This window comes from Homo sapiens, chromosome 20 (assembly GCF_000001405.40).
Source record: "Homo sapiens chromosome 20, GRCh38.p14 Primary Assembly".
Lineage (NCBI taxonomy): Eukaryota > Metazoa > Chordata > Mammalia > Primates > Hominidae > Homo > Homo sapiens.
In genome coordinates, this window is record NC_000020.11 from 19,910,881 (window position 1) to 19,925,014 (window position 14,134).

General features: G+C 45.5%; 1 protein-coding gene across 16 annotated transcripts in view, besides 2 other annotated features; it reads left to right on the top strand.

The window, feature by feature from the left end:
- The window catches only part of RIN2 (Ras and Rab interactor 2), a 244,858-nt gene that overhangs the window by 153,282 nt on the left and 77,442 nt on the right, over positions 1-14,134 (top strand). The gene's annotated exons all lie outside the window — the stretch shown is intronic.
- Positions 1,072-1,121: an enhancer, noted in NCBI's record as "active region_17601". NCBI's record gives its function as "activates an Ori minimal core promoter by ATAC-STARR-seq in GM12878 lymphoblastoid cells {active_cell/tissue: GM12878}" and the evidence as "EXISTENCE:reporter gene assay evidence [ECO:0000049][PMID:35858748]".
- Positions 4,603-4,672: an enhancer, noted in NCBI's record as "active region_17602". NCBI's record gives its function as "activates an Ori minimal core promoter by ATAC-STARR-seq in GM12878 lymphoblastoid cells {active_cell/tissue: GM12878}" and the evidence as "EXISTENCE:reporter gene assay evidence [ECO:0000049][PMID:35858748]".

Genomic DNA, 14,134 nt, shown 5'->3' on the forward strand with positions numbered 1-14,134 from the left:
TTATTGATATAATTCCAAACTTCCAGAATAGTTGCAAGAAGAGTTCAAAGAACGCTTATATATCCATTACCTTGGTTCCATATGCACCAGTGGTTAACATTTCACTGCCCTTGCTCTGTCATTCTCTTTCTACACACACATACACACACATATGCAGAATTATATAAATATGTAAATTTTTTTTTTTGAGACAAAGTTTCACTCTTGTTGCCCAGCCTGGAGTGCAGTGGTGCAAACTCGACTCACTGCAACCTCTGCGTCCCAGTTTCAAGCAATTCTCCTGCCTCAGCCTCCTGAGTAGCTGGGATTACAGGCATGCACCACCTTGCCCAGCTAATTTTTTAATTTTTTTAGTAGAGACAGGATTTCACCATGTTGGCCAGGCTGGTCTCGAACTCCTGACCTCAGATGATCTGTGCGCCTTGGCCTCCCAAAGTGCTGGGATTACAGGCGTTGAGCCACCGCGCCTGGCCCAAATATGTCAATATTTTACATAAATAGATAATTTTGTCTCTATATAGCTACATATGTAGTCTGTTTTCTGAACCATCTGAAAATACATTGGAGACACACCTGCGACCACACCACCTTATCTCTAAATCCTCCTTGTGTATTTCTGAGGAACAAGGACATTCTCTTGCACAAACAGTAAGTAAAAGACACAAGCCAAAAAGCTATTATACACACACTGATAACACTAATATAACACTCCTCTCTAACCCACAGCTCATTTTCAGAGCTTGTTCATTGCTCTGGTCATGTCCTTATACTATTTCTTTTCCTATTTCTTTGCCTCACTGCATTTAGTTGTCATGATTCTTTGGCCTCCAAATGGTCCTGTCTCACTCATTTCATTCCGTGAATTTTTGCTTCAGTGTCACATACATGCAGAAAGTGCTCACGTCAATATCCAGCTTAGTGAATTTCCACAAAGTCAACATACCTGTTACTGGCTTTGAATGGCATTTGTATGTGACATTTTTTACAAAATGAATCTCTTTGTTATCAGAATAGGTGAATCGCGTGGGTGAGCCCAGCGTACAGATGTGCAGCCAGCCATGGCTATGGGTCCACAAGACAGGGGCTGTCTGTGGTTTTGATGGAAGGATCTACAGGGCTCCCTTTTAGTTCAGGTTTTACTTCCTGGCCCTGTGGACTCCTGTGGCCTCTTCTACCCATTTCAGAGTAGCCATTTGATGTGTTTTCATAATTGAATTAAGCTAAACATGAAAAGCAGATTCTAAAACTCAGCCTTAACTCCAGGACTCCTCAAGTACACGTCAACTGGACCCAGACAAGTTTCTCATCTGAGTCAAAATGCTGTGACCCAGAACAGGGAAAGGGCTTTCACATAGACACATTTCATATGAGCATTGCTTAAAGACACAAAGGAAGGAAGCCTGGGGTTCAACTGTGCTCTCACCACCCCAGAACCTGATTTGGTCTCCTGCTGCAGGTCCATGCTTTTTACCAGGCCAGACCCCTCTCCAGGGGCATCTCAGCCAGTTCACCTGGCTCCAGGAGGCCTGTTCCCATCAGGAAAAGCCCCTGCATCCATTGCTGGGATGGTCATTTCTTTTTTCTTTTTCTTTTTCTTTTTTTTTTTTTTTTTTTTGAGATGAAGTCTCACTCCCATCGCCCAGGCTGGAGTGCCATGCTGCGATTTCGGCTCACTGCAACTTCCGCCTCCGGAGTTCAAACGATTCCACTGTCTCAGCCTCCCAAATAGCTGGGATTACAGGCGCCTGCCACCATGCCCAGCTAATTTTTGTATTTTTAGTAGAGACGGGGTTTCACCATGTTGGCCAGGCCAGTCTCAAACTCCTGAGCTCAAGTGATCCACTCGCCTCAGCCTCCCAAAGTGCTGGGATTACAGGCGTGAGCTACCACGACCACGCCGGGATGGTCATTTCTAACCACCTTTTTGGGTGAACAGCAGGTTTTTCTTCTCCATCCTGAATGTTTGATGTCACTAGGAAATGGAAAACCCCGGGGTGTGGGAAAGGCACAGCTGAGGAAGCTGCATGTTGTCCACAGCATCAAGAGGTGCCATGAGCGTGCGGTGCACAGGCTGAGCCTCAGTCCATGCGCATGGGTCCAGAGAAAGTGCTGCGAGGTCCTCTTCACAGTTAGGGCCCTCCTGGGCTTTGCCTCTGATTACTGTCATTTTCTTGGAGGAGCCCAGAATTTAGAAGCTGGAGATGGGTTCGTATAGATCATTTTCTCAAGAGAAGGTCTCCATGACATATATTCATAAACAAAAAGAAACTCTTCTACCTTGTTTTCTATGAAGTTATTTTCTAGGGATTCTGTTTTGTTGTCGTTGTTCACACTGTAGCTCTCAGATCTTACTGTTTTTTTTTTAATTGTGATAAAGCATACATAACATAAAATTTACCATTTTAAGCATTTTTAACCATGTTTTTTAAGCTCACCATTTTAAGCACTTTAGTGATGGTGTCTCACTGTGTTGCCCAGGCTGTTCTCAAACTCCTAGGCTCAAGCCATCTTCCTGCCTTGACTTCTGAAAGTGCTGAGATTACAGACATGAGCCACCATGCCCAGTCACATTTTAAACATTTTTAAATGTACAATTCTGTGGCATTAAGTACATTCATATTGTTGTGCAACCATCACCACCATCCATTTCCAGAACTCCTTTCATCTTGCAGAATTGAAACTCTATCTATTAAATAATTCCCCATTCCTCCTTTTCCTCAACCCCTGGTAACTACCCTTCTGCTTCCTGTTTCTATGAGTTTGACTCCTCTCGGTACTTCCTACAAGTGGAATCATACAGTGTTTGTCCTTCTGTAACTGGCTTATTTCACTTAGCTTAATGTCCTCAAAGTTTATCCTTTTTGTAGCATATGTTATAATTTTCTTCCTTTTTAAGGCTGAATAATATTCCATTGTATGAGAAGACCACATTTTGCTTATTCATTCATCCATCAGCGGACACTGGGTGCTTCTACCTTTTGACTGTGGGAAATAATGCTGCTATGAATGTGGATTAGAACCTGTTTTTAAGGAAGATTATTTTTTTCTCTTGCCCCGAATAAAAATATTAAAACCTATGTGATTAAGGGGGCCCATCTGCCCATAGGCATATGCACACGTGCGTTGTGATGGGGTGCGTGTGAAGTTGAATCTGAATTTTGTGAAATGCAACTACCAGAGTTTGCGGTCTAGGAGAGCCAGGTGGCTTTAATAACAGTATTATCAGTTCAGTGATCAGACGGGCTTACTGAGATGTCAAGTGAGTTAGATCAAGCAAACTAGTTGTCAGGGTTACTACTGTCTTTAACCACTCACCTGATGCTTGTTTCTTATTGTCTGTCTCATTTTTTCAGTCACATTGCAAGCCTTTTGGGGGATAGAAATAATATCTTATGCTTCTTTTGGTGTCTAGTTAGGCTATTACCCTAAAGGTAGCAGGTCTTCAATAATGTTGACAATGGTGTGAGTTGACAATGACTCACACCAAATTTGCCTGTCTGCACACGCTCTGCATTGTTCTGTGGTGTTCCTGTATGACTTTCCCAGTATGTACTTTCCCACCATCAGAAGGACATTGCATCAAAAAAATTTGCATTAAACAGTTGCTGCTCTCGTGTTTGAAGCTGGGCAGCTGAATTAAATTAGTGAATCGATGTGTTAATCAATTGCAAGAGCCAAATTTAACAAATATAAACTCAGCACCCACTATGTAGCCAGCTGGACGAGACACTGGATATACCGACCTGGGAAAGAATTGGTCTTGTGGTTGGGGCTCTCACACTCCAGTGGAACCTTGTTCACAGTGTGGTCTGCCCGTCAGCCATGGAGTTTGCTAAAAATGCAGACTCTCAGGCCCTACGGAATGCCTCTGAATCAGAACCTGCACCTTCACCAGGTCCCTAGGTCATGCGTGTGCACATTCCAGTTTGAGAAACACCAGTCTTGTGAATGTTATCCTGTTAGCTATATCCTAAATGATAACAAAGGGTGTTTTGTGTGTGTCAGGGAGAGATGAGACTAAGGTGGCACTGGGAAACTGTGCCCAGTTCTGGTCACTACAACCTCAATGAGAGCAGAACAGCACAAGAGACCCCTCTGTGGCCATTCCCTAAGACCTTCGGGATGACAGCAGTGCAGCTGGGAGAAAAGGCCCTACGGGTAGTGAAGGTATCTGACTGCCTAAGATGGAGCGAATCCCAGCAGGGATTTCCTGCTCTGAATTTATAGTAAAAAGAAAAACATTGTTTGGGTTCCTCCAGTAGCAGAGACAGAATACGAATGCAAGTAGTCTATTCTGTGTTGAGTGATCACAGAAAGTTCATGTGGGAGAGTAGGGGAGTGAGACAGGAAGGGGAGGCAGCCAATACATGGTGCAATCCCACTGGGGACCTCTGAGAGACTGTGTGGGGGCATCCAAGTTGTTCCACATAAGAGCGAGGCAGCTGGGGTGTTTGTGCACCCACTGCCATCCCTCCTTGGCTGAGGGCTGCCCTGGGGTATTAACTCCCCAGCACTGTGGTCTGATCTGCTCAGCACTCACTCCCAGCCACAGAGCTTCCTCAGCTGTGGGCAGAGACTTCCAGGTGCCTGCAGTAGAGCCATCACAACAGAAGAAAACGGTGACTTCCAAGGGTTGTGGGCAGAGCACTCACAGTCTCTGCTCCATGTGTCCCATCTGGATTAAGAAGTCAAGGGTGTCTCAGCAGATGTCCGCATCAGAGCGCAGGTTCCAAATGAGGAACAAACCTTTGCATTTCAGTAAATTTCAAATCTTAGTGACTCATCCCCTCAGAGTAACTAATCATCTTCACAAGACCGAAAATGGCTGAGCTTCATATTTGCTTATAATCCAAATTCCCTTTTCATACCCACTCTGCTCTCTTCCTTCCCTAAACCAACTCTATGTGCTCAGAGGACACTGACAAGCTCAATTTACAGAAAATTTTTTGTCATTTTCTGTTTCAAAATTTCCCTTCTGATATTGCATGCTACAGATTCATCTCCCCTATCCAATTCCTTTCACTGTGAACCCTTACTCCATTCTTTCCTGTTTTGTTTTTTAATTAAAACTGAAATTCTGGCCGAGCGCTGTGGCTCACGCCTGTAATCCCAGCACTTTGGGAGGCCGAGGCGAGTGGATCACGAGGTCAAGAGACCGAGACCATCCTGGCCAACATGGTGAAGCCCTGAATCTACTAAAAATACAAAAATTAGCTGAGTATGGTGGCACGCGCCTGTAGTCCCAGCTACTCGGGAGGCTGAGGCAGGAGAATCGCTTGAACCTGAGAGGCGGAGATTGCAGTGAGCTGAGATAGTGCCATTGCACTCCAGCCTGGTGACAGAGTGAGACTCCATCTCAGAAAAAACAAACAAACAAACAAAACTGAAATTCCAAATACAGCAGTTACTGTCCCCAGGAACACTGCTTTAAGTTTGCATTTCTTTAAGAGTTTGGGGGCTGGGTGTAGTGGCTCACGCCCATAATCCTAGTACTTTGGGAAACCAAAGCGGGAGGATTGCCTGAGGCCAGGAGTTTGAGTCCATCCTGGACAAACTAGCGAGATTCCATCTGTACAAGAAATAAAAATATTAGCTGGGCGTGGTGGCACACACCTCTGGTTCCAGCTACTCAGGAGGCTGAGTTGAGAGGATCGCTTTAGCCTGGGAGCTCAAGGCTGCACTCCAGCTCCAGCCTGGGCGACAGAGTGAGATCCTGTCCAAAAAATAAAAAATAAAGAGTTTTGCAGACCACTGCTCCCCAGAAATGATCATCAACAGAAAGCCCTAAAGCCAGTAGGTTTGGGGAACCCCGCATACTTTATTCACTCCCTGGAGACCAACCCTGGACATCAGCATCTGAAAAGTTCTGAGGAGTCTTCAGTGACCTCATTTTATCGAATGTTTAATGTGCTTCCACTGTTGTTCGAGCAGTAGTGTTTGTATTGAAATCGTGCCTGTTCACATCCTACACTGCTTGTGTTGGGTGGAAACCACTTGGGGAGATGCTGCTTGATATACAGATCCTGGCTCCATCTGTGCATTTGAAATTCATAGGCATCTGGAGACAGTGGCATAGAAGCAGTGGGCGCAGGAAAAGTACAACTCAGAGTTTACAACGAGAAAAAGTGAAAACCACCTGACACATAGCTAATGTTTTAGAATGAAAAGTGACTTCCATTCCAATTGAAGTCAGCCCCTGCTGTGTAATTAAGCAGATATTTAAAAAATTTAAAAAAAAAAAAGGCAGGCGGAGTGGGTAAGGTACGACTCCAAATGGCAAAGCCCCAGCTTCAGGGAGGGAGAGGGCCCAGGAGTGAGGAACATAATTAAATAGCTGTGCCACGGTCATCCACCGAATGCCTTATTTCCTTTGTTTTACCAAGAATTGCACCAACCAAGTGATCTGTTGCCAGCCTTCCATATGGCAAATGTAAGCACCTGTCCAGAGTACTAAATGGCTGAGCCCAGGAGCTCCAGAGGAAACTTGTCTGATTGCTCTGCTGCCAATTCCAGGCTCTCTGTTAATTCCATCCATCAAATTATTCTTTTTCTTCTATTTTTCCTAAAATGATAATAGTTATTTTTACTGTGAAATTTAAAAAGTGTAAAGAAGAAAAGAGACCTAAATTGTACCACCTCTAATCACTCCACTCGGGAATGAAGCCAGTGAGCATCTTGACACTAATGCATTCAGATTTTTGTTCTGTCTGTGATTCGACTATATTATGTAAATCCATACATAAGTGCAGCCACAACTATTACTTAAGTGAGCTCAGAGAACACATACTTTTCACAACTTGTTTATTTCCACTTAATAACATATCACTATATTGATATATTGACATACAATATATCGATATATACTGTACATCTCAAGAAATATGTTTTAAAGGCGGAATCGCCTTTTAAAGGCGGAATAGCATTCCATCATATTGGGGTACACACTTTATTTACCCAGTCCACAGCTGTTTGACATTTAGCACTTTTTCCCCTGTTCACTATCATAAATGATATTGCCCAAAGCATTCTTTTACATGTATCTGATTATTTCTTTGGGTCAATTCCTAGAAGTAGAAATGCTGAATCCAACAGTTTTCATACTTTAATGTTGATATACACATTCAGATTGTCTTCTAGAAAGAGCAAGTCATCTTTTTTCTCTAGTGCTTGTAGAAAACCCAGTGAAGACAAGTGGTAAGAAGCCAGAAATGGTAAAAGGGAAGTGAATGTGACTGTGACACCCACGCCAGTGCATTCCGGAAAGGCAAAGTGGGACAGCTGGGGGGACACCAAGTTAGAGCCAGAAGAGGCACTGGAAACCTGCTCGTCTATTTTAAGCTTAAGGAAACCAAAGGCCAGAAAGGTTAAGCAACCTCCCACCCAAGGCCAAGGTCCCATAGCTTAGATGGATAGCTGTAAACTTCAGGGATAATTTTCAAAAAACGAAAAAACGTGACTCTCATACAAATACATTGTGTGTGTGTGTGTGTGTGTGTGTGTGTGTGTGTGTGTGTCAAAGATTGATTTAACTCATTAATGAGATCAACAGGACATTAAAGCTGGCTCCAAATGGGGCAAAGATTGGGAAAGACTCAGTGGGCAAAAGAATAACACCTTAAACGAACTTTGTCATCTACTATGAGCCACTTTTGCATATCTACCTTTGAAGGTTAGAGATAAGCTTGCTATTGTCAGCATTCAACCACTTTTTGACCTTCAAACAACTCAACTTCAAAAGGTACAACCCAATACAAACCTGGCTAAAGACATAAAAGGCAATACAATTAAAACCTCTGGGGTTCTCTTTTCTACTGGACAAACATCATTTGCAATTTACAGACCTTCCAGAAGTTAGCATCTGACTTTACGGAGTCTGGGCCTTAATTAAAAAAAAAAAAAAAATCAGACAAAATACAAAATGACATCTGGGATGACACTTAGGTAGATGTGTTACGCAGAGCCCAAGTATGCCTTTGCAAGGGAATATTTTGTGCTTTATTGAAGTTGGCATAGTTATATTTGCTGTAAGAACAGCCTTTGGTGGCTGAACTATGTGTGGGAGAACAAGGTTGATATTCACGGCAAATCTACTCAAGCTACTCTCCAATGGAGTTTCTCTGAAGGCTGGGAGGCTGGAAGGCCCCGCAGTGAATTGTTGCTCTCACTTCTCATGGAGTGGGCTCCAGGCTTTGTGTTTCCCCAGGAAGCTGAGGTGGAGCAACTGTTTGCCATGTGGGAATCTGCTCTTGTCAGCCTTCCAGCTGGGGGATGACAGATGCCGTGCGAGAGTCCCGGTTATATCCAGAGAGGGTTTTAGGGAGAGCTCAGGATGCTGGAAGGCCTGCCGGTCATCTGCCAGTTTCTATTTTGTAAATTCCAGGATGCTGGTCCCCACACAGCATGTTTGTCACTAACAATGCAACCAAACAAGTCACTAATATTTGACCTATACACCTGCAGGCCCCTTCAACCTGAGCTCTATGAAGACATAAGTCAGCACATTTCAGTTATAAGATTTTCAAAATGTTATCCCTGAAATCATTTATATCCTGTAGTCAATGGTGTATAAAAGTGGCAGGGCTCTTTTTCTTGATACTATATAAAATAAGAGTGTGTGTTATCATTAATAGTATCTTAAATTTGTGGCCAGGTGCAGTGGCTCACACCATAATCCCCGTACCTTGGGAGATCAAGGCGGGCAGATCACTTGAGCTCAGGAGTTCAAGACCAGCCTGGCCAACATGGTGAAACCCCGTCTCTACTATAAATACAAAAATTAGCCAGGCGTGGTGGCATACACCTGTAATCCTAGCTACTTGGGAGGTTGAGGCAGAAGGATTGCTTGAACCCAGAAGGTGGAGGCTGCAGTGAGCCGAGATCATGCCACTGCACTCCAGCCTGGACAACAGAGCTCAGAAAATAAAAAATAAAATAAATAAAAATGTGAAAGTGCACATTATGTATTTTTCTTCCCTATTGTAGACCCAAAGCCTGATGCTTAATAAGTACTCTATAAACACATCTTAAAAATATTAAGCAAAAGATGCAAGATCTAACTGAAAACACCAATGCTAAAACTAACTGGGGCTGCCGAAAGCCTTAGTGACCACTCTTAGAAAGAACGTCATCCCAGGCCGGGCGCAGTGGCTCACGCCTGTAATCCCAGCACTTTGGGAGGCCGAGGCGGGCAGATCACAAGGTCAGAAGATCAAGACCATCCTGGCTAACACGGTGAAACCCCGTCTCTACTAAAAATACAAAAAAAATTAGCCAGGCATGGTGGCGGGCGCCTATAGTCCCAGCTACTTGGGAGGCTGAGGCAGGAGAATGGCGTGAACCCGGGAGGGGGAGCTTGCAGTGAGCTGAGATCGCGCCACTGCACTCCAGTCTGGGCGACAGAGCGAGACTCTGTCTCAAAAAAAAAAAAAAAAAGGAAAAACTTCATCCCTTGTGGTACTTCAATCATTTCACTTATTACTGAACCTAAAAATGCAAAGCCACAGGCAGGAGTATGGTGCCATCTGTGACTGCCAAGGTCATTGAATAATCCAGAGGTCATGGAGTAATCTAAGGCAACACTGGACTCAGACAACTGATGCAATAGATCAAGGCCTCAGCAGGAGGACTGTTTCAAGATACAGCCACACACGCTGCTTCCGTAGTTCACACATTGAACTGCAGATACTACACGCACCTTTTACAACTTATTTTTCTTTCTCTGTGAGCATGCGCCAAATTGAAGGTTATATCAGAGTGTTTGCTCTGCAGTGTAATTTCAAACATAGTTCTTTTGTTTTCGTTTTTGTTTTCTTTGAGACAGAGTCTCGCTGTGTTGCCCAGGCTGGAGCACAGTGGCGTGATCATGGCTCACTGGCAACCTCCACCCCCCAAGTTCAAGCGATTCTCCTGTCTCAGCCCCTGAGTAGCTGGGACTACAGGTGTGCACCATGTCCAGCTAATTTTTGTATTTTTAGTGGAGACGGGGTTTCACCATGTTGGCCAGGCTGGTCTTGAACTCCTGACCTCAAGTGATCCACCTGCCTCTGCCTCCCAAACTGCTGGGATTAGAGGCGTGAGCCGCCATGCCCAGCCGAAACAGTTTTTTGGGTTGTTTGTTTGTTTGTTTGTTTGTTTTTTAATAAAAACAACTCTGGGCTAAGCCTCTGGGAGTGCCACTGATCAGGGGTGCCGCCTAAACAGGGATGTCCTCCCGGCCCTTCACAGCCTCTCCCATGTGTGGTGAGGAGTGCCTGGCAAGGTGGAGCCCACTTTGATCTCTTTTGTATGTTGAGAGGAGCAGTTTACAATTTAGTTATTAATTGTTTGAAAGCAAACGTTTTACACTCAATGAGAACTTCCCCCAGAATCAGAAGAGAACCGCTGCCTCCTGGATGTGCAAGCACATTGGTGTTTTTGGGTGGTGGATAATTGAAAACTCGAGCAGTCTCTTTTTAGTGGATGCCACACGTCAGCAACTTTCCCATCCCATCCAGCTGAGGTTATAATGGATTGGATCCGAGCTCCGCCTCCTCTCTGTCCTGATTTACCCCCTGCCTGGCACAAAAATGAACAGAGAAGTCACCAAGAGGAAGGCGGAGAGGGAAGAGCACTTGATTCACTCAACAACTAATGTGTGCCAGGGACTGCTCTGAGCTGAGGAGACTGCAGTGAACCAAAGGACAGCATTCCTGCTCCGTGGAATTCGCATCCAGGTGGGGGCGTTTGGGAGCATCTCTGGCTCCAGGAAGAACCCACCGAGCGGCGCCAAGCAGGAAGGCTGGGGGTGTCCTAGGTCGGGTTCCCCAGAAACAGGCCCAGAGCCGAAGAACTGTGTGAAAGTGGCTATCAGGAAGTGCTCCCAAGAGAAACGCATGGTGAAGTGGGGGTTGGAGCCTGGAGGGGAAAGAGATCAGAGATCAGAGGTCCAATATCAGGTGAAGTCCCCTAAGGGTAAATTTGGATCTGTCGGTTGTTTGTTTGTTTGTTTGTTTGTTTGTTTGTTTGTGACAGGGTCTCTCTCTGTCACCCAGGCTGGAGTGCAGCGGCACAATCTCAGCTCACTGCAACCTCTGCCTCCTGGGTTCAAGCGATTCTGCTGCCTCAGCCTCCAGAACAGCTGAGATTACAGGCGCATGCCACCATGCCCAGCTAATCTTTGTATTTTTAGTAGAGATGGTGTTTCACCATATTGGCCAGGCTAGTCTTGAACTCCTGACCTCAAGTGATCTATTCGCCTCGGCCTCCCAAACTGCTAGGATTACAGGCGTGAGCCACTGCTCCCCGCCTGGGTCCGTCTTAAAGGGAGCTTGAGGACAATGTAGGTCTCACCTCAATTATCCCAATCAGGAGTGGGGAGCTAGGATATTTACACCCCAACACCCAGCTTCACTGGTCAAGGACTGACCCTGGAGACCCTTCATGGTCTCTGCACCAAACAAAGCCAGCTGTGCCAGCCTGAACCACCAGCTTTGGGGGATGCGCTTCTCTTGTCCTGACCACTCTTTCTCTGGAGGTGTGAGAGGCCCCCTCTGGCAGAAGTGCTGGTCTCAATTGAGGCCACTGTGCAGCCTGATGTTTCTAGGGATTTTCAGATCTGAAAAAAGCCCAAGATAAAAAGGTCCAAGATCTGAAAAAGGTCCAAGATAAAAAAGGTCCATAGCTTTCCAAAGCTATGGAAACCTCGTCATCAATGCCTTGAGGTCCCCCGAGGAGGTAGCACCACTCAGTAGGAGTACCACGTGCTCCATTTTCTGAGGCTCTCCTAATTTCAAATATTCTGTCCACTGTAAGTCCATCCATGCTTCTCAGACCCCATGTCCCTGTGGAATGAAAGTGCCCATGGGGACCATAAGGTGGGGAGCTTCCCTCCTGCTCCCAGGAAGCGCCCAAAGACCAGTGTCCCCAGCAGATACAATTAGCCAATGCATTCTGCCACCTGGACCCCACCCCATACTGCAGCATTCGTTTAAACCATACCTTTCACTCGCCTGTCTTTGGAAGAGGGTGTAAGTCACTCAGCCCTCCCCCCACCAGCACACTACAGATGCTCGCCTGCTGGGGGCTCTGCCAGCATAACTTCCGTGAACTCTCGGCAACCTTGGACGCAGCCTTCATCCTGTCCTCCTTTTAAGCTTGAGGAAATTTAAGGGGTCAGATTATTTACTCAAGGACACACTGCTTAGAGCAGCAGAGATGATAACATTCCAAGTAGGCATTTCAGTCAAAATTCTGCTTTTAAATACTAAGTTGGCCAAGAGGCCAGCGCGGTAGCTCACGCCTGTAATCGCAGCACTTTGGGAGGCTGAGGCGGGTGGATCACAAGGTCAGGAGTTCGAGACCAGCCTGGCCAGTATGTTGAAACCCCATCTCTACTAAAAATACAAAAATTAGCCAGGTGTGGTGGCGGGCGCCTGTAGTCTCAGCTACTTGGGAGACTGAGGCAGGAGAATCCCTTGAACCCAGGAGGCAGAGGTTGCAGTGAGCCGAGATTGTGCCACTGTACTCCAGCCTGGGAGATGGAGCGAGACTGTGTCTCAAAATAAAATAAATAAAATAAAATAAAATAAAATAAAATAAAATAAAATAAAATAAATAAAATAAAATAAAATAAATATTGGCTGAGAGGTGTGGTTCACACCTGTAATCCCAGCACTTTGGGAGGCCAAGGTGGGAGGATTACTTGAGCCCAGGAGTTTGAGACCAGCTTGGGCAACACAGCAAGACTCCATCTCTATTTTTAAAAATAGACAAATATTAAATTATCCATTGTGTTTATTTCCTTTAGATACTACCATTTACTAATTAGAACTAAAATTATAAAGTTATTCACAACAAAATACTCATTTCACTTAACTCAGAGGATGGGGGTGGATGGCTTATTACCTTTTTTTCTACATACTGTTATTTGAGGTATAAGGAGAAAAAGGGAATTAAAAGATAGTGAACGTTGCTTTTTGGTAAATAGAACATCCCGATTTTGACTAAGGTGGTGTCTTGAACCAACAGGGCTAGGATAGACAATTGAATAAATGCTGTTGAGCTCATTTGCTGTCCATTTGCAATGAAAAATGAAGGGCAGAGTTCTGTTTCAAACCTCCACCTCTTCATACCCCCACCTTTATACCCCCACCTTCGTATCCCCACCTTCCATACCCCCACCTTCCTTACCCCCACCTTCCATACCCCACTTTCATACCCCCACCTTCATACCCCCACTTTCCATACCCCTACCTTCATTCCCCACCTTTTCATACCCCCACCTTCATACCCTACCTCTTTATACCCCCACCTTCATACCCACACCTTCATACCCCACCTTCATACCCCCAACTTTCATACCCCCACCTTCCATACCCCACCTTCAAACCCCCACTTTTGTACCCCCACCTTCATATCCCCACCTTTCATACCCCACCTCCATACTCCACCTTCATACCCCCACCTTCATACCGCACCTCTTCATACCCCACCTCTTCATACCCCCACCTTCATACCCTCACCTTCGTACCCCACCTCTTCATACCCCACCTCTTCATAACCCTACTTTCATACCCCCACCTTCATACCCTCACCTTCATACCCTCACCTTCATACCCCCACCTTCATACCCCACCTTCATACCCCCACCTTCACACTCCCACCTTCGTTCCCGACCTCTTCATACCCCCTCTTCATACCCCACCTTCATACCCCCACCTTCATTCCCCACCCCTTCATACCCCACCCCTTCATAATCCACCTCTTCATACCCCCCACCTTCGTACCCCCACCTTCCATACCCCACCTTCCTTACCCCCACTTTCATACCCCCACCTCTTCGTTTCATATCCCCACCTCTTTTTTTTTTTTTTTTTTTTTTTTTTTTTTTTTTTTTTTTGAGACGGAGTTTTGCTCTTGTTGCCCAGGCTGTAGTGCAGTGGTGCAATCTCGGCTCACAGCAACCTCTGCCTCCTGGGTTAAAGAGATGCTCCTGCCTCAGCCTTCCAAGTAGCTGGGATTACAGGCATATGCCACCATGCCCAGCTAATTTTGTATTTTTAGTAGAGATAGGGTTTCTCCAAGTTGGTCAGGCTGGTCTCAAACTCCCGACCTCAGGTGATCCACCCGCCTCGGCCTCCCAAAGTGCTGGGATTAC